Source organism: Homo sapiens, chromosome 4, assembly GCF_000001405.40.
Source record: "Homo sapiens chromosome 4, GRCh38.p14 Primary Assembly".
Lineage (NCBI taxonomy): Eukaryota > Metazoa > Chordata > Mammalia > Primates > Hominidae > Homo > Homo sapiens.
Window position 1 is genome coordinate 648,730 of NC_000004.12, and position 17,992 is coordinate 666,721.

The window sequence follows — 17,992 nt, forward strand, 5'->3', positions numbered from 1 at the left end:
GCTTAGTGGAGCAATTCTCACCGCCCAGCTGTCTGAGCTGCAGCAAAGCTGCATGAAAGGCCTGTGGGTGCAGGGCTGCAGCTCTCACCTTCAGGCCGGCCATGCGTCAGGACCCGGTGGCTCGCTGCAAGGGCGGAGGAGGTGCCCCGACTCAGGTCAGGCATGGGAGGAGCGGGGGAGCCTTCTGTCTCTGCAGGTCTGACTCCTGCCTCCTGTGAGGAAGCAGAGCCATTCAGAAGTGAGAGGCGGCCAGGAGGGGCGGGCGTGGTCTGTCCACACCGGGCAGTGGCGGGAGCCTGTTGAGCTGGCCAACTTCGGACTTAGGGCCCCACCATGATGAGCCAGATGGAGCTGTGGGGAGATCCACGCTGGCACAGCAGTCCGTCTGCCGTAGCGAAGCCCCGAGCACGGCCAACAGCGACCCACAGTGGGGCGGGGCGGGTGATCCTGGGTGTCTGTCGCCTTTCCTTTTAATACAGTGTTCTAGTTTATAGGTTACATGATTTAATTGACATAATGGCCATGATTGAATTGTCATAATGGCTATGTTTAATGGCTGGCTCTCAGAATGCCTGAGGATTCAACAACCAGCTCTGAGAAGCTCACCATGAGATGAAGCCCTCTGCCCTGATGCCAGGACACACACTAGATTTGTCAAGGCCCTGGGCCCAGGGGGAAACGTCTCCAGAAACAAGGCTCCTGGGGCTGGGGCTTCAGTAGGGCCGAGGCCCGTCCTAGCGACCAGGCCTCCAAGGGACGCTGGGGCCACCTGCTGCTGCTTTGAAAGTGAAGGAGCGCCATTCTTGGATTCCCCAGGCACTCGCTGGGGTCCCTTATGCTGACCACAGCCTGGGAAGACTGTTCACTGGTGGACCCACAAAGGCCTGGGAAGACTGTTCGCTGGTGGACCCACAGAGGCCTGGGAAGACTGTTCGCTGGTGGACCCACAAAGGCCTGGGGTTGGGACCGCGTAGGCCTGAGCGCTTGCCTCCCACCACAGCTATGGCCCAGGGCTCAGGGTCGGGGGGAGACTCTGGCCCTACTCCACTGGCTGGGCAGCCAGTGGGGATCCCATCTGCCCTGGCCCCTCAGGACCTCCTGGCCCCTCCTTCCCATAAGTAATGAGAGGGCCATGAGGCTGAGCAGCTCCCCTTCCAGGGCCATATGCGTCTCTGTGCCTTCTGCCCCCCATGTCAGTGGATCCCTCATTTCTGAGTACACGGGGTGGCCACCGCTGTCACCCTGGTTTCACCCTGGAGCATTAAACCTGACCCCAGTCAATGCAGGAGGGACACAACCTCAGCTTCCATGCAGCCCAGAAGCCCAGGCTGCTCGAACCATCCCCGGGGCCTTGTGGATGCAGCAGGTGTATCCTGTACCGGGGTGCTGGGACGCTGGGCACGGGCTTGGGGCAGGAGGGGCCCCCGCTCCCTGAGGAGGGGACAAGTCTGGAAAACTCCAGGGCGGGCCTCCAGCCACACCTTGAAAAGGGGGTAGGTCCCACCCAGCACTGGATGTTTGGCTTAACAAGTTCCCAACATTTTAAAGTCGAGACAATTCACGTAAGAATTAGGGTTTCTACATCTCTTGAAAGGCTGAGAGCTCAACACTGCTGGGTGTCCGGCCCCCCCTGTCCCCACTGCCCAGGACAGGCAGACCCCAGGTGCGAAGCCTCACAGCCTGCTTCCTCCACACAGGCAACAGCCTCCATCAGAGGCCTCAGGGCTCCCCTTCGATCTGGAGTTGGAATTGAGGGATGCTGCCCAGGAAGATGCCAGGGACACCTGCGTGGGCAGAGAGGGCCCAGGAAGGCCCCAAGCGTGGGGTCAGGGCACCGAGGGGACAGAGTGGAGGGGGTCCCCCAGCCCAGAACCACCCAGGCACCAAGACTCCCAGCAGTCAGGACAGAAACAGCTCCGACACCCACACACAGGGAGGGGGGCCGGCAGGGAGGGCTGGCGTCTGGAGGCTGCGGAGGCGAGAAGGCTGGTTGGGGAGGCTGCGTAGATGCCGTTTCAGAGCAGGCCAGGGTCGGAGGTTGGAAGAGCCATTCCGGAGGGCAGGGGGTGTTGACGGGGGCACAGAGGAATGCCCTGAGCCCGAGCCGGCAGCGAAAATCCACCCGCCACACGCTGAAGACGCCTGCACTTCAGTCAGTTGCTGTGTGCACCAGCAGGCTTTTAACCGGAAAATTAAAAATGAAAACAAGGAGGACGGCAGAAGCCTCAGGGTGGGGCTGCTGGGCTGGGACCACCTTGAACTCAGTGCCTCCCCTCACTGAGGTGCCGATGTCAACGGCAGTGGGGCTGTCACAGGCAGGACGGGCTGAGGCGGCGATGTCAACGGCAGTGGGGCTGTCACAGGCGGGGCAGGGGCTGAGGTGGCGATGTCAACAGCAGTGGGGCCGTCACAGGCAGGACAGGGCTGAGGCGCCGATGTCAACAGCAGTGGGGCCGTCACAGGCGGGGCAGGGGCTGAGGCGGCGATGTCAACGGCAGTGGGGCCGTCACAGGCGGGGCAGGGGCTGAGGCGGCGATGTCAACAGCAGTGGGGCCGTCACAGGCGGGGCAGGGGCTGACCCGTGGGGTCAGACTGAATGGGGAGTGGGGGCCCCAGGGGTTGGTGGGTCCTCAGGGGGGGCCTCCTGGAAAGGACTTGAGGCCAGGCCTTGGGAGGAGGAGGGCCTGGGATGAGGGCCTGGAGGCAGAGGCCAGAGCCCGTGCGAAGGCGCTGAGTTCGGCAGGAGACAGACTGAGTGTGGGAGGGACGCAGAGGGCGCAGAGGGTGGGGCCGGGCCTCCACCTGCGGCTCTGGGTGAACCAGTCACGCGAGGAGAATGCACCTGGCGATTCCACACATCTACAGCGAGTCTCCTGAGCCGCAGGCGCCGGGGCTGTGGAGAGCCGTCTCCATTCAGCAGGCGCCAGGGCTATGGGGAGCCGTCTCCATTCAGCAGGCTCTGGAGCTATGAAGAGCCGTCTCCATTCAGCAGGCGCCGGGGCTATGGGGAGCCGTCTCCATTCAGCAGGTGCCGGGGCTGTGGAGAGTGCTAGGGCGGTCGCCATCTGCACCTGCTGTTTTCCCAAGTCCTGTTCTGGACCCACTAACTCCAGTGACTGAGCTGACTTCTTCACACGGGCATGGGGCCAAAGCTCCTGACCAGTGCAGGGACACGGGGGGTGGGACATACTCAGATAGGGGCTGGGAAGGCTGGGAGCTTCTGCTGAGGGTGGCACCAGCAGCAGCTCCATGACTGTGACTGCGGCCAGGGCGGCTCCACGACGGTGACTGGGGTCAGGGCAGGAGAGTGTGGAGGCCAGTGAGGAGGGTCCACACCCATCGGTGAGGCAGGAGTCAGGGTAGGCTGCAGACCCGGGCGGAGATTGCGAGGCAGGGGTCAGGGTCACTGGAGAAACATGGCTCAGGAAAGGCTTCAGGGAGAAAAAGGTGTTGGACGAGAGAGGCTGGTGCTCAGGGGCTGCAGGGGGGCCGGGCCTCAGCAGGGAGGGAGGGAGGGACTCTGGGAACAGCAGAGCCGGCACTGAGGATGCTGCCAGGGAAGGGCACTGACGTGCATGGACCTGGAGGATGCCACTGGCCAAAAGCTAGGATCTCACTCACATGTGGGATCCGAAAACCCTGAATTCATGGAAACAGAGAGTGGAAAGGGGGTTGCAGGAGGCCGGGGCAGGAAGAGAGATAGAGAAAGCAGAGACGTTGGTGAAAGGGTGCAAAGCGTTCGTTAGCTGGAGCTGTGGGCTTCAAGGTCAGCCGCGCTGTGTGGCGGCCACCACTGCCGTTAACCACAGTACACAGGGTGCTCGGTAAGTGCAGTTCTGCTTCCGAGGATTTATGATGTGGGAAAAGTTTTAAATTAAAAATAAGAATAAGAATGTAAAACAATACAGTAGAACAGCCGTTTTCATGGCCTTGCCTTGCACTGGGTGCTAAGTCATCGGAGATGATTTGAAGTCCTGGGGGTGCGTGTGCAACCTCTGTACAAACTCTAGGCCATTTCACATCCGGGACTTGAACATCCTCGGATTTTGTTATCAGAGCGGCGTCCTGGAACCAATTTCCCTGAGGATGCCGAGGGATGACTGTATTGTATACCAAATTGCTAGAAAATAGACTTGTAATGTTCTCACCACAAAAAAAACAAGTTGGTGAGGTGATGGATATGTTGATTAGCTTAATTGAATCTTTCTGCAACAAATACTTACATCAGAACATCACGCCAAACCCCATAAAACATAAACCCCATCAATACACACAATTATTCAACTGAAGATAAACTAAAATCAGTAAAATCAATGTACTGGGAAATAAAGCTACGAACATCTCACTGCCCTTGGCAACAGGAGAGCCTGGTCCTGTTCCCACCATGAGCTGAGTGCCAGGGGGTGGAACTTCAGAGGGCCTGGCAGGGAGAGAGCTGGGCTAGGACACCGCAGCGGAGGAGAGGGAGCTGGCACCATGCGGTAGAAGACCCAGCGGCCGCCGCGAGTGTGAGGAGGCAGGGCCTGGTGGGGCCTGGGTCTGGGCCTTGACCAAGGAGGCAGAGAAAGGTGGCCCAAGGAGGGCCCTGGGGTGAGTCTGAGCCTGGTGGCAGCGCTGACCCAGCAACCAGGGGCCTGTGCAGCGGGATGTCCTGAGTGGGGTCTGGCCAGGACCTCGTGGAGTGCGTCAGCAATGCTTCACTCTCAGACGCTTGGCGGAGGCCACAGGCGGCCTGACGTGCGGAAACCACGGCCCGATGTTCTCAAAGCCCTGCTCGCCGCAGGTGGTTCTGGAGCAGCCGGGCGGAGGAAGGGCTGGTCGGATGTTTGCCTGTCAAGCTCAAAGCGACAGATTCCACTTTCCACTCGTCCACTCCTGAGTGATCAGGGACACGACCGCAGCCTCGAGGCCTCACCGCCAGCCAGCTCCCGGGCCCCACAAGCTCAGATGAAACCTGGCCACGGAGCCACCAATCAGGGTCTGTGCCAGGCTCCACGGCTGGGCAGGTGGTCAGATCAGGGAGCGCACCTGTGTCAGGCTTGAGTTAAACCCCTGCTGCTGTGGTCAGACCGGCGTGAGGGTGGGAGTGGCCACAGGCCCACAGGTGTGCCCCTCCCTCCAGGTGCTGCTGTGGTCGGCCAACAAGGTGTTTGAGGAGCTGACGGACATCGAGAGGCAGTTCCACAAGGCCTTCTACACGGTGCGGGCCTACCTCAACTGCGAGCGGTACTCCGTGGGCCTCCTGGACATGACCAAGGAGAAGGTGAGGCTTCCGTGGCTCAGGGACCCCCTGCCTGGCCCGACCCAGGTCCCGCAGTGACCGCCCCACCCTCACCTCTTCTCTGCCCAGGAATTTTTTGACGTGTGGTCTGTGCTGATGGGAGAGTCCCAGCCGTACTCGGGCCCACGCACGCCTGATGGCCGGGTGAGTCTTAGGGGAGGGGCCCAGGGCCTGTCCACACGCCTCTGTTTCCCTGACTCCAACTCCAGGGCAGGAGAGGGAGGGATAGGGGTGGGGTTTAGGGAGGTGGGAACTGGCCGGTGGGACCCCGGGTGCCTGTCTGTGGTCTCCACCAGGCTCCCCTGCTGCTGCACTCCAGGGATGGGGTGTCCAGGGCTGGTCCCTGAATGAGGGCCGCCAGGCTGGTCGTGAAGACCCACGTCGGCTCTGATTGTGGGGGCTCCTGCTGCCCCATCTCCCCACGTGGGACCTCCTGTGCACGTGTAGGATGCGTGTGTGTGTGTGTGTGTGAGAGTACGGGCCCAGCTTGTGTGTGGGATTGTGCGGAACACAGACTGGGAAGACAGATGTAAACCGCGGCGTGTGATGCGTGTCCCGTGAGTATTGGGGACGGTCTGCATGTGTGTGCACCCTGAGCCTGTGCATGTGTGGACATGGGTGTGAGTGCACCCGCATTCGTAGAATACCTGCGCACGGCGGAGACATCTGTTCACGTGTGTACACATGCACGGTTACGTGTGTGGGGGTGTGCATGCGTGTGGCTGTGTGTAGCTGCATGTAGCTGTGTGTGTGTGTGTGAGCCCCTCAGAGCTTGGCCAGGCAGCCCCCCGACCAGTGTCTTCTGCTTCTCAGGAAATTGTCTTCTACAAAGTGATCGACTACGTCCTCCACGGCAAGGAGGAGATCAAGGTCATTCCGTAAGTGCAGGATTTTACCAGAAGCGTCCCCGGGGGAGGGACCGCCCCTCAGACCCCGGCTCAGCCCCCAGGGCCGTCCTCCCAGGGCTTCCCACGGTGCAGTCAGCAGCACCGGCCTGGCCTGGCCCCACCTGTGGTGCTCTGTGTGCCGTGGGGCATAGTGGAGTTGGGGGTGAGACAGAAGCCGACTCACTGTTCTGGGAGATGGTGAGGAGGACGTGGGCTGCTGAGGAGCCCGAGTCACTGTGGACATCCAGAGTGGACATACAGGGGACCAGGCAAGCTGTCCAGGCGGCCTCGTCAGCAACAATTGAGCATGAAGGCCCCAGGATTTGACCCTGGCACCACCAGCCCCACCCAGACAGTGGAGCCTCCAGCCAGGAGGCCGAGTCTTGGCCCCGTGGGGCTGGAAGAGGAGGGGAACTCCAGTCCGGAGGTCAGGGCAGGACTCCAGCCAAGGGAGGGGCAGCTGGTGGCCCAGTGGCCCTGTGATCCCATAAGCCTATTGGGACCCCATCCCCAGGCCCCAAGCAGGAACCAGGATCCAGGTGCCAGGCTTGAGCACAAGTCAGGGTCAGGGTGGCAGGGCAGGCACCAACGCTGAGTCCTAGAAAGCAGGCTGAAGCCATACGGCCTCCGGAGAGGGAGGGGTTCCCAAGAGGGAGGGGCCCCAGCACGGCAGCCTGGGGAGGAGGAAGAAGGCAGCACAGCCGTCCTCCAACCCACGCCCTGGCCTCCTCGCCTCCTGAACCCCCTGGCACTCAGAGAAGAGAGTAAATGCTGAGGATGGCACATGAGCCAGAGACCCCCAGACCCCTGCACACACGCCCAGTCCATCTGACCCCAGTACACCTACATCCAGCGCAGCCTGGCCCCTCTGACCCCTGCACACACACGTGCAGCCCAGACCAGCCCCTCTGACCCCTGCACACACACGTGCAGCCTAGACCAGCCCCTCTCACCCCTGCACACAGACATCCAGTCCCTCTGACTCCTGCACGCGCACATCCAGCCCGGCGTGGCCTATCTGACCCCTGCTCTCTGCCCACAGCACACCCTCAGCCGATCACTGGGCCCTGGCCAGCGGCCTTCCAAGCTACGTGGCAGAAAGCGGCTTTGTGAGTCCCGTGCTGTCTGGAGTCCCCACAGCCTTGCCCTCACTGGGTGCGGCGATGTGTGCTTCTCCTTGTCTCTGCCACGTCCCGCCCTCCCGGCCAGCTCCACGTGCCTCAGTGAAGCCCCCAGCTGCCCTGCTTTACCTACTTAAAAGCTCACCTCAGGGCCACAGAGGCCATTTTAGATCATAACAGACCTTCCGCTGTTTTGGATGAAATCGTTTTTCTGATGCTTTTTCAGATTTGTAACATCATGAATGCTTCCGCTGACGAAATGTTCAAATTTCAGGTATCTGTCTGTGCCTTGGTAGAAATTATACTTACTTACAAAAGAGGAGATTTTGATTCAGCGATGATGAAGTGAATTCGTTTTTGCCACTTAAAAAACAACTTCAGCCAGGCATGGTGGCTCACGCCTGTAATCCCAGCACTTTGGGAGGCTGAGGCGGGTGGATCACCTGGGGCTGTGACCACAGCCCCCACACACGCCCGCAAGGCCGTGACCGCGGCCCCCACACACCCCTGCGAGGCCGTGACCGCGGCCCCCACACACCCCTGCGAGGCCGTGACCGCGGCCCCCACACACCCCTGCGAGGCCGTGACCGCCGCCCCACACACATGCCCATGAAACCACTCCTGGTGGGAAAACGGCCTCTACCTCCTCCGGTGGGAAAATATCATGACACAAAAACCATGGACACAAACTCCAAATGCAGAGAGGGAGAGAGGGAATGCAGAGAGCAGAGACAGGAACACGAGCCCAGCCGTCACGGCTCTAGGGGAGAAGACATGAGGTCACTCTCCCCGGCCACACGCCCGGGCCAGGGCCAGCCTCAGGGCGGAGCTCAGCTCTGGACACCGCTCCCGCAGGAAGGGGCCCTGGACGACTCCGGGTGGCTCATCAAGAATGTGCTGTCCATGCCCATCGTCAACAAGAAGGAGGAGATTGTGGGAGTCGCCACATTTTACAACAGGAAAGACGGGAAGCCCTTTGACGAACAGGACGAGGTTCTCATGGAGGTAAGCACCTGGGCAGACGTGGTTCCGCCGGGGATGCCCTGCGAGGGGTGGGGCCTGTGCGGTGTGGGGGCCTCCCCGCCAAGCATTCGGCTGTGTGCGTGTGCTCATGTGTGTGCGGTATGCATGCGGCCAGGGAGAGGACGACAAAGGGCCCCCCCGGGAGCAGGAGCCTCTGCAGAGCACCCGGGAGACCCCACACAGAAGCACTGCGACACCATGGTGGCAGCCCCAGGACCTGCCCGCCGAGCCACGGGGCCTGGCACACAGGCACATGGGAGGGGGCGCGCCGGGAGCGCTGAGCGCCAGTGACACTGCCATCCCCTCCAGTCCCTGACACAGTTCCTGGGCTGGTCAGTGATGAACACCGACACCTACGACAAGATGAACAAGCTGGAGAACCGCAAGGACATCGCACAGGACATGGTCCTTTACCACGTGAAGTGCGACAGGGACGAGATCCAGCTCATCCTGGTGCGGCGGGGCAGGACGTCCAGGGGTCACCCAGGGGTCACGGCTGTGTGGCAGGGGCAGGTCGTCCAGGGGTCACCCAGGGGTCTCGGCTGTGTGGTGGGGGCAGGTCATCCAGGGGTCACCCAGGGGTCACGGCTGTGCGGTGGGGGCAGGTCGTCCAGGGGTCACCCAGGGGTCACGGCTGTGCGGTGGGGGCAGGTCGTCCAGGGGTCACCCAGGGGTCACAGCTGTGCGGCGGGGGCAGGGCATCCAGGGGTCACCCAGGGGTCATGGCTGTGCAGCAGAGGCAGGTCATCCAGGGCTCACCCAGGGGTCATGGCTGTGCGGCGGGGGCAGGTCGTCCAGGGGTCACCCAGGGGTCACGGCTGTGCGGCAGGGGCAGGTCGTCCAGGGGTCACCCAGGGGTCATGGCTGTGTGGCACAGGCAGGTCGTCCAGGGGTCCATTGAGGGGTCACAGGGGTCATGGCTGTGCAGCAGAGGCAGGTCATCCAGGGCTCACCCAGGGGTCATGGCTGTGCGGTGGGGGCAGGTCATCCAGGGGTCACGGCTGTGTGGTGGGGGCAGGTCGTCCAGGGGTCCATCCAGGGGTCACCCAGAGGTCATGGCTCTGCGGCGGGGGCAGGTCACCAGGGGTCACAGCTGTGCGGTGGGGACAGGTCACCAGGGGTCATGGCTGTATGGTGGGGGCAAGTCGCCAGGGGTCACGGCTGTGTGGCGGGGGCAGGTCACCCAGGGGTCATGGATCTGTGGCAGGGACAGGTCACCAGGGGTCACGGCTGTGCGGCGGGGGCAGGTCGTCCAGGGGTCACAGGTGTGCGGGGCAGGTCACCCAAGGGTCATGGCTGTGTGGTGGGGGCAGGTCACCCAGGGGTCACAGGTGTGCGGGGCAGGTCGTCCAGGGGTCACGGCTGTGTGGCAGGGGCAGGTCACCCAGGGGTCATGGCTGTGCGGTGGGGGCAGGTCACCCAGGGGTCACAGCTGTGTGGGGCAGGTCACCCAGGGGTCACGGCTCCCTCTGTGCAGTGGGCGGCCAGGTTACCCAGGGGTCACAGCTCTCTCTGTGTGGTGGGGACACGGCCCTGGGGCCAGAGCTGAGTACAGCCCTGGCATGCCCCCGAGGTCCCTCTGTCTGCACGGCCCTGGCATCCCTTCCCTGTGCTCAATCTCCCCAGCCAGGGGCCTTGCATGGCCAGAGCCCTCCTGGTCATCATGAGAGAGTCCCATCATTATACCTGAGGACTGCGTAAGGCAGTGCCCGAGAGAGGACAGGTGGGAAAGTCAGCAGGCCATGCACACGGTCATTTGTCTCCAGATCAGAGGCCGCCAGGGCCTTCCCAGGGTGAAAGCACAAGCTCTTGACAGCACCTTCCTCTAGCTCACACGGGGTGGACGCACCGCCGTCACCTTGTCCCACATGCGAAGCTCTTTCTCGTGACACATCTGTGTCTCTGTGTAGCCAACCAGAGCGCGCCTGGGGAAGGAGCCTGCTGACTGCGATGAGGACGAGCTGGGCGAAATCCTGGTAAGAACCTTGCTCCCGTCCCTCCCATGGAGGCCGGCCACGTGTGAGGCTGGGAGGAAGAGTTCTGCATTCTCCGGGACCCGACGGTGCTTTGCACACACGGTCATCAGGGATGTTGGTGCTGTGTGTGTATACTTGTGTATCTAAGCACCTTAGTGTACGTGTGTGTACATAAGCCTGGCTTTCAGTCTCAGCCAGTGTGTCCCTGAGTGTGTTTGCATGGCCAGAATGTGGCTTTGATGTCTGCACTCCTGAGTGTATCTTCGTGTCTTCCTGTCTCCTCTGTGCTTTGCCAGATGTTTAGTTTTCACCGGATGTTTAGTGGGCCTGACTTGGACTCTGTGTCCATCTATGTCATCTCTGCTCTCAGAGTGCCTAGGTGCCTGCAACTCCCAGTGTGTGTGCATCCGCATGTGTGCACGCACATGGGTGTCTGTGTGCATGTGTGTGCACATGTGGGTGTCTGTGTGTGCACAAGTGTGTACGTGTGTGTGCATGTAGGTGTGTGTGCACACGTGGGCGTCTGCACAGGTGTGTACATGTGTGCACATGTGGGTGTGTGTGTGCACATGTGGGTATGTGTGTGCGTGTGTGCATTGTATGAATGTGCACATGTGTACACATGTGTGTGCACATGTGTGCCCACGAGTATGTGTGTGCATGTGTGTGCACATGGGCGTTTGTGTGTGTGTGCCCGTGTGTGCACCCATGTGTGTGTGCTCACATGTGCACAGGGGGTGTGTATTGTGTGTGCATGTGTGTGCACATGGATATATATAGACACATGCTTGTGTGTGTCTCCTAGAGACGATTGCTGGATCAATGTGGGGATTATGTGGTGTCCCCATCACCCTGTGTCTGCCTATGCAATTTAGCCAGAATCTCCCGGGGCCACGAGCCTTGTGAGTAGGCCTTGGACTGAGCATGGGAATGTGCCTGGTGGGTCTGAAAGTCCACTGTTGTGTGTGTTACCTCATGGCTGTGTGTGTGAGCCTACATGCGTGAGTCTGCACGTGTGTGCCTGCATGTCTGTGGGTGTGCCTGGGTGCTCATGTGTGTGCCTGTGTGTCCACACCGGTGCCTTTGTATTCATGGGAGTGGCCGTGTATCCAGGTGTGCCTGTGTCACGTGTGTCTGTATCCGTGTGTGTGTGTGTTTCTTTTCATGTGCACACCTTTGTGTTTTCTTGTCTCAACAACATCACCCTGTCCACCCAACTGGGCAAGTTCTTCACTGTTGGGCCACAGGGTACAAGAGGGGAGAGTGAGGCTGAGCCAGGGGGGCGTGTGAGCAGCCTGGGATACAGGCTGGAGCGCCAGGAATGACACATCTCCTCAGAGATGCCTGAGGTGTCTGAGGCTTGGCAGGGGATCTGGAGAGAAGAAAGGATGAGAAGCAAGTGGGGGCTGTGGCAGGCCAACCTCCCTCAGCCCACAATCCCTCCCACAGAAGGAGGAGCTGCCAGGGCCCACCACATTTGACATCTACGAATTCCACTTCTCTGACCTGGAGTGCACCGAACTGGACCTGGTCAAATGTGGCATCCAGATGTACTACGAGCTGGGCGTGGTCCGAAAGTTCCAGATCCCCCAGGAGGTGGGAGACACCGCAGGGCGCATAGTCAGGTCCCTGAGGCCGCCCAGGACATGGGGGTGGGGATGTGATCAGGGCCTCAGGTGCCCCAGAAGGTGAGGGGGATGGGATTGGGGGTTCCAGATCCCACAGGAAGTTTAGAGGGCCGACATGTTCATCACAGAACAGGTAAAATGCACACGGGAAGTAAGCATAAAACAAATAATTGGATGGCTGGGTGGATGGCTGGATTGATGGATGGCTGGATGGGTGAAAAGCAGGGAGGAAGGAGGGAGGTTAGGAAGGAAGGAAGGCCAACAGGCAAGCAGAAAGAAACAAAGGAAGAATAAATGAATGGATGGGTGGATGCCAATGGTAGTTGGATAGTTGGATAAATGGATGGGTGGGTGGGCCAATGGTAGTTGGATGGTTGGATAAATGGATGGATGGGTGAGTGGGCCAATGGTAGTTAGATGGTTGGATAAGTGAATGGATAGGTGGATGGATGGAGAAGTGGGTGGATGAGTGATAGATGAGTAGGTGGGTCAATTAATGAATTAATAGATGGGTCAATGAATGGGTGAATGGATGGGTGGACAGCAGATGGATGGTGAATGGATAGATTTAAAGTTTTATTATTAGGAGTTCCAAGCAATTTGATCATTAGGCACATCATCTGGCAATAACAGGGGATTTGGTGTGGGGTGCTGAGGAGATAGAAGCATCCCATCACCTAAACAGAAAGCACAAAGTGGCCCCCCTGGTTTGGCCACAGCAGCACTCCTCGGAGACCCCCTGGGGAGGCGGGATGGCTTTCCCAGCCCTCGTCCACAGCTCTGTGCCCTCCCTGGGTTCTCCTGCCCTGCCCTGCTTCCAACATCTCAAGGGGCTTCCCACAGCCCTAGGAAGAGAATCCTCTTTTCTCATGCCCCTCTGAGAACAGGTGCAGCAGGCCAGCATTTTCAAAAGAAGTTTTACTAAATACTAAGGGAAAACACTCAAGAAAAAATGTATAGAAAATATTTGCAGAATAAAAAATATTTCCAAATAATTTTCTGACCCTAAAAATCACAATGGCCGCAGGAAGAGCCTCCTGGCGATGTCCGCAGGGCAAGAGAGACCAGCATTCTCTTGCCCTGCGGACATCGGTTCTCCCACCCCAGCCTGCAGCCCACACATTCTGCTCATTCAAATGTCCATGCCTAAAACCAACATCTTAAAATATGCTGCATCCCCAGGGGTCCTCCTCCCAGCTTGAGGCCAGGCAGTCGGATGGAGGCTGGGCGGCCCCTGAAGGCTGGGGCTGTTCTCAGCTCCTGCCCTACCTGGCTCCACCCCATAGGTGCCAATGTGGCAGCCCCTACCCAGGAAGGCCAGCAGAGGCCAGTGGGAAACGCAGGGATGGGGAAGATCGGGAAGTCCAGGAGACGGTGTGGGGATGATGGCACGGAGCAGGGCTTCCACTGTGAAGTCAGCCACAGGTGCCGCTCTGGCGGGACTTACACGCTTGCCGCCGGAGCCCTGTGTCCTCTCGGCTCCCCCAGGTCCTGGTGCGGTTCCTGTTCTCCATCAGCAAAGGGTACCGGAGAATCACCTACCACAACTGGCGCCACGGCTTCAACGTGGCCCAGACGATGTTCACGCTGCTCATGGTACGTGGCTGCCAGAATCACCAGGGTTGTGCAGGCCCTCCTGGTACCAAGGGCAGCACTCAAGCACCCCGAGGGATGAGATGGGGGTCCTCCCAGGGCAGAAGGATGGAGGAGGGCAACGCCCTCTGACACCGTGCACCGCGCACCCCAGCCCTGCGGTGGTCGGAGGTCCAACCTCCAACCCGACGCCTAGGTCATCCCAACCCCTCACCACTCCCCACCCTGCTGGAGCCAGGACCGGTGAGCAAGGTGGCCCTGTCTCTACAGACCGGCAAACTGAAGAGCTACTACACGGACCTGGAGGCCTTCGCCATGGTGACAGCCGGCCTGTGCCATGACATCGACCACCGCGGCACCAACAACCTGTACCAGATGAAGTAGGCACCTCAGGGCGGGCATGTGAATTAGCCCTAAATCAACTCCACGCCCTTGGCGTGAATTAGGCTTCGCATAGCAGGCTATGTAGAAAGTGGAGTCCACGGCCAGGCCCCGTACTCCAGCACTGTGGGAGGCCAAGGCGAGGGGATTGCTTGAGCCCAGGAGTTCGAGACCAGCCTGGGCAACATGGCAAGAGCTCTCCTCTACAAAAACTTAAAAAAAAAAAAAAAAAAAAAAGCTGTGTATGGTGGCGCACACCTGTGGTCCCAGCTACTTAGGAGGCTGAGGTGGGAGGATCACTTGAGCCCAGGAGGTCAAGGCTGTATTGAGCCATGATTGCACCACTGCACTCCAGAGTGGGTGACAGAGGCAGACCCTGTCTCAAAAAAAAGAAAGTGGGGCCCATCTGGGGGGGCTGCAGAGCGCAGGGTGGGCCAAGGGCAGGTCCCACGGGCCTCACCTCCACCACCTGTGTAACAGGTCCCAGAACCCCTTGGCTAAGCTCCACGGCTCCTCGATTTTGGAGCGGCACCACCTGGAGTTTGGGAAGTTCCTGCTCTCGGAGGAGGTTGGTATACTCACCCTCGGTTTCTGCTGTGGGCGCTGGGGACGCAGCGTCCGCAGGACGGCAGGGCCGTATCCTGCGGAGCAGGGTTCTGATGCAGCGGGTGAGCACTGGGTGTGTGAGCACTGGGGGAGGGCGGCAGAGAAGGCGGAGGGCCGAGGCTGAGGGCAGGTGCATCGGAGGCCCTGGGAAAACGCTTGTGGGGAAGACAACTGGAAAGGGCCCCTCATGGGGTGGGGTGGAAGCCGAAGGGGAAGCGGCCCGGGACCCACCAGCGGGGGAATGAAGGGCAGCCGAGCCCTGAGCGGCCCCCAAGGACCTGGACACTCAGTGGACCCCTCCCTGCGCTCCCCGGTGGTGACCTCTGAGGCCATCTGCGTCCCAAGCCGACGATGGAGCCGCTGGTGGAGAGCTGGGCACCCTGAGGAGGGCCCTGAGCAGCAGGCGGATTAGGGGTCCCGCCCACCGAGGGCCCGAGGGCGGGGGCGTGAGAGGCACAGGCAGCCGAGGCGGAAGGGGCGGGGTCCCCGGGCACCCTGAGAGGTGGCCGCAGGGCGCCTGACGCGCTGGGCATAACCTCCGCAGACCCTGAACATCTACCAGAACCTGAACCGGCGGCAGCACGAGCACGTGATCCACCTGATGGACATCGCCATCATCGCCACGGACCTGGCCCTGTACTTCAAGTGCGCGCCTTCCGGGAGGGGGCGCCTCGCGGGGCGGGCGGGTAGCCTGGGACCCCCGGCAGACACGGGGGCGCAGCGGCGGCACAGCCCGGGGGACGCAGCCCCGGATTCCGTCCCTGCCCGCCGGCCCCGCGCACCCCGGATGGGGCCTCGCTCGGGCTCCGCGCCTCCCTGCAGACGGGCGCTTGGGGCGGGGTCTCCACACTTGCTCCCACCTGCACCTCCCTTGTTCCCTGGGTTCAGGAAGAGAGCGATGTTTCAGAAGATCGTGGATGAGTCCAAGAACTACCAGGACAAGAAGAGCTGGGTGGAGTACCTGTCCCTGGAGACGACCCGGAAGGAGATCGTCATGTGAGCGCGGGCGGAGGGGGCACGAGGGGTCCTTCCCTCGCAGGGACCGGGCCCACTCACCAGCTGGTTAACCCTGCAGCCCTCCCCAGACGCTCTGGAGCAGGAAGAGCCCGTCGCGGCAGCTTGTCGAGGGCTGTGAAACAAATGCGCCGTCCTTATTTCCCCCCAGCTCTCAGGGAGATGGTGCAGAGCTGGGGAGCACACAGGCCCTGCATTGGTCTGTAGCCCTTGGCAGTAACTTACTTCATTTTGACCTTCCACTTTTTCACCTGTAAAATGGTGATTCACAACCAGCCCCTCCCCAGGCTGGTCCCAGGGACCCAGTGAGAAAATACACATAAACCCAGCACTTGGGAGGCCGAGGGGAGTGGATCACCTGAGGTCAGGAGTTCGAGATCAGCCTGGCCAACATGGTGAAACCCCGTCTCTACCGAAAATACAAAAATTAGCCGGGCGTGGTGGCGGGCGCCTGTAATCCCAGCTACTCGGGAGGCTGAGGCACAAGAATCGGGAGGCGGAGGTTGCAGTGAGCTGAGATTGCGCCATTGCACTCCAGCCTGGGCAACAGAGCAAGACTCCATCTCAAAAAAGAAAACACATATAAACCACCTGCCCTCAGGAGACGCCCATCAGCACTCGTGCCCGGTTTGTGTCTGCAGGGCCATGATGATGACAGCCTGCGACCTGTCTGCCATCACCAAGCCCTGGGAAGTCCAGAGCAAGGTTAGAACAGAGGGCCCTCCAGACCCAGAGTCAGTGCCTCTCAGCACATGGGACTGCCGGGCGGGCGGGAGCCTCGGATGGCAACGGACCATTGTTTGCAAGGAGCTCTGAGGGCCACCTCGGGGCCAGGCCAGGGCGGCAAGGATGGGGGTACTGCAGTGTGTCTACATGGCTCAACCGGAGCCCTGTGTGGTGGGGACCCCGGGGGTCTGGGGCGGAGAAGACCGAGGCTCGGAGCCTCACGGGGCGGGCCCGGGCCCTTCCGCGTGGGCTCAGAGCTCCACAGACAGCTGCCTTCCTGTGCCTCCAGGTCGCACTTCTCGTGGCTGCTGAGTTCTGGGAGCAAGGTGACTTGGAAAGGACAGTCTTGGATCAGCAGCCCATTGTGAGTGCTGCTTCTGGAACCTTCCACTCCTGAAACGGGTGTTAGAGACCCCTCTTGGTCCTCAGGAGCCTCAGGTCCTGGCTTGGTCTCAGGCAGGGGGTTCTGAGGTCGTGGGGTCCTTATCTCACTTTGTGGGATCATGTGACATGCGTGTGGGTGGCTCGGACCTGGGTACAGCTGTGGCTTGGGTGATGCTTATGCAGAGGTGACGTCGTTGGCACTGGAGGAACCAGGGCCACCCGCTCATCACCAGGAGCCTCTGGGTCCAGGCAGCTCTGCAGGTGAACCCCAGCAGGGCCGCGAGCCATGCACCAAGAAAGCCCTGGGGAGGGTGCTGGGGCAGAGAACGCATGGGGGGCGTCCCGGGCCCACACAGTGGTATGATGGACAATGCCAGGGTCCTCAGGTCAGCAGCGGGGTCTGGATACCTCCTGGCAGCAGGAGAGGTGCCAGCAAATGGGAGAGTCAGGATAGGCGCCAGGAACAGGAGAGGCAGGGCTGCCCCAGCCCCACGTGGACCAGGTGGGAGCTGTGGTTTCTCACACACCCGCTCTGGTGGGCGGCGAGGGGCTCTCTGGAGCCTGCAGTGGAGAGGGCTTAGGCCAGGTGCAGCCTCGGCAGGAAAGGGGGCATTGGTTGGTCAGCAAAGCCCCACAGGGGAAGGACAGGCAGCAGGTCCATCCCCCGCGCCCGGCCTCTAGAGTCCTGCATGGTTCACCCTCCACCAGGACGCTGTGAGGGGACGGACAGCCCAGGGCACTCGGGGTCTGACACTAGAAACAGCTCCAGAGCACGTCTGTGTCTGCCCCAGGCGAGTGCACAGCGAGGTCCTGGTCAGCCGAGTGTCTGGGCAGTGCAGCCCAGCCCGGCTCAGCACTGTGTACAGCCCATCCCCCTCCCCGCCTCTCCCCAGCTGCAGTAAGGGTCCCCAGAGCCAAGAGGGGGCTGCCCTCAGGGGACCACGGGCTGGAGCCAACAGCAGCTGTGGGAAGAAGCTGCCCACAGTTCCTAGGAGCTGTGGAGCCGCTGGCCAAGGGAGAGGGTGTCAGCTTCCCCTCCCGAGAGCCAGTTTCTGTCAGGCAGGCTCGTCCCAGGCTGTGTCTCCATGAGCACATCTGAGTGAGGGGGTCGGGGGGCTGGGCGGGGCCCCAGGAGCTGCCTCCCTGGTCACTGTTCTCCCGCCCTCTGTTCCTCCCACCAGCCTATGATGGACCGGAACAAGGCGGCCGAGCTCCCCAAGCTGCAAGTGGGCTTCATCGACTTCGTGTGCACATTCGTGTACAAGGCGAGTGGTTCACGGGTGTTCCGAGCTGACTGGGGCAGGGTGGCTGGGAGCAGGCAAGGGGGCGCGGGCTGGAGTCGCGTGGACTCACACGGGCCCGGCGGTGTCCT

At 61.0% G+C, this 17,992-nt stretch overlaps 1 protein-coding gene and 1 long non-coding RNA gene across 16 annotated transcripts in view, besides 4 other annotated features; one reads left to right on the forward strand and one right to left on the reverse strand.

The window, feature by feature from the left end:
- The window catches only part of PDE6B (phosphodiesterase 6B), a 45,210-nt gene that overhangs the window by 23,157 nt on the left and 4,061 nt on the right, over positions 1 to 17,992 (forward strand). For 4 of the 14 annotated variants that reach the window (NM_000283.4, NM_001145291.2, NM_001440547.1 and 1 more), the window contains exons 4-20: positions 5,123 to 5,263; positions 5,351 to 5,425; positions 6,095 to 6,159; positions 7,211 to 7,277; positions 7,516 to 7,563; positions 8,145 to 8,294; positions 8,622 to 8,765; positions 10,223 to 10,288; positions 11,738 to 11,884; positions 13,405 to 13,512; positions 13,780 to 13,889; positions 14,371 to 14,458; positions 15,041 to 15,141; positions 15,385 to 15,492; positions 16,152 to 16,215; positions 16,526 to 16,600; positions 17,802 to 17,885. In NM_000283.4, the coding sequence (NP_000274.3) occupies positions 5,123 to 5,263; positions 5,351 to 5,425; positions 6,095 to 6,159; positions 7,211 to 7,277; positions 7,516 to 7,563; positions 8,145 to 8,294; positions 8,622 to 8,765; positions 10,223 to 10,288; positions 11,738 to 11,884; positions 13,405 to 13,512; positions 13,780 to 13,889; positions 14,371 to 14,458; positions 15,041 to 15,141; positions 15,385 to 15,492; positions 16,152 to 16,215; positions 16,526 to 16,600; positions 17,802 to 17,885 (1,641 nt within the window). Of the gene's footprint in view, positions 1 to 3,222; positions 3,825 to 4,447; positions 4,591 to 5,122; positions 5,264 to 5,350; positions 5,426 to 6,094; positions 6,160 to 7,210; positions 7,278 to 7,515; positions 7,564 to 8,144; positions 8,295 to 8,621; positions 8,766 to 10,222; positions 10,289 to 11,737; positions 11,885 to 13,404; positions 13,513 to 13,779; positions 13,890 to 14,370; positions 14,459 to 15,040; positions 15,493 to 16,151; positions 16,216 to 16,525; positions 16,601 to 17,801; positions 17,886 to 17,992 lie in introns of those variants that run through there. The other 10 variants (NM_001145292.2, NM_001350154.3, XM_047415773.1 and 7 more) reach the window with 8 other exon arrangements.
- Positions 1,845 to 2,798: an enhancer, noted in NCBI's record as "H3K4me1 hESC enhancer chr4:644363-645316 (GRCh37/hg19 assembly coordinates)". NCBI's record gives its function as "activates a minimal SCP1, AML or CMV promoter by ChIP-STARR-seq in naive H9 embryonic stem cells {active_cell/tissue: H9 hESC(naive)}" and the evidence as "EXISTENCE:reporter gene assay evidence [ECO:0000049][PMID:30033119]".
- On the reverse strand, positions 4,176 to 6,471 carry PDE6B-AS1 (PDE6B antisense RNA 1). Of its 2 annotated transcripts, NR_183811.1 has the most exons (4): positions 6,353 to 6,471; positions 5,336 to 5,484; positions 5,029 to 5,242; positions 4,176 to 4,954 (listed from the first exon to the last, which is right to left on the reverse strand). It is a non-coding gene; the product is annotated as a PDE6B antisense RNA 1 (long non-coding RNA). The 2 variants fall into 2 exon arrangements; NR_183810.1 differs by lacking the exon at positions 5,336 to 5,484.
- Positions 14,644 to 15,236: an enhancer, noted in NCBI's record as "H3K27ac-H3K4me1 hESC enhancer chr4:657162-657754 (GRCh37/hg19 assembly coordinates)". NCBI's record gives its function as "activates a minimal SCP1, AML or CMV promoter by ChIP-STARR-seq in naive H9 embryonic stem cells {active_cell/tissue: H9 hESC(naive)}" and the evidence as "EXISTENCE:reporter gene assay evidence [ECO:0000049][PMID:30033119]".
- Positions 14,644 to 15,300: a biological region, named in NCBI's record as "H3K27ac-H3K4me1 hESC enhancer GRCh37_chr4:657162-657754".
- Positions 14,831 to 15,300: a silencer, noted in NCBI's record as "silent region_15099". NCBI's record gives its function as "represses an Ori minimal core promoter by ATAC-STARR-seq in GM12878 lymphoblastoid cells {active_cell/tissue: GM12878}" and the evidence as "EXISTENCE:reporter gene assay evidence [ECO:0000049][PMID:35858748]".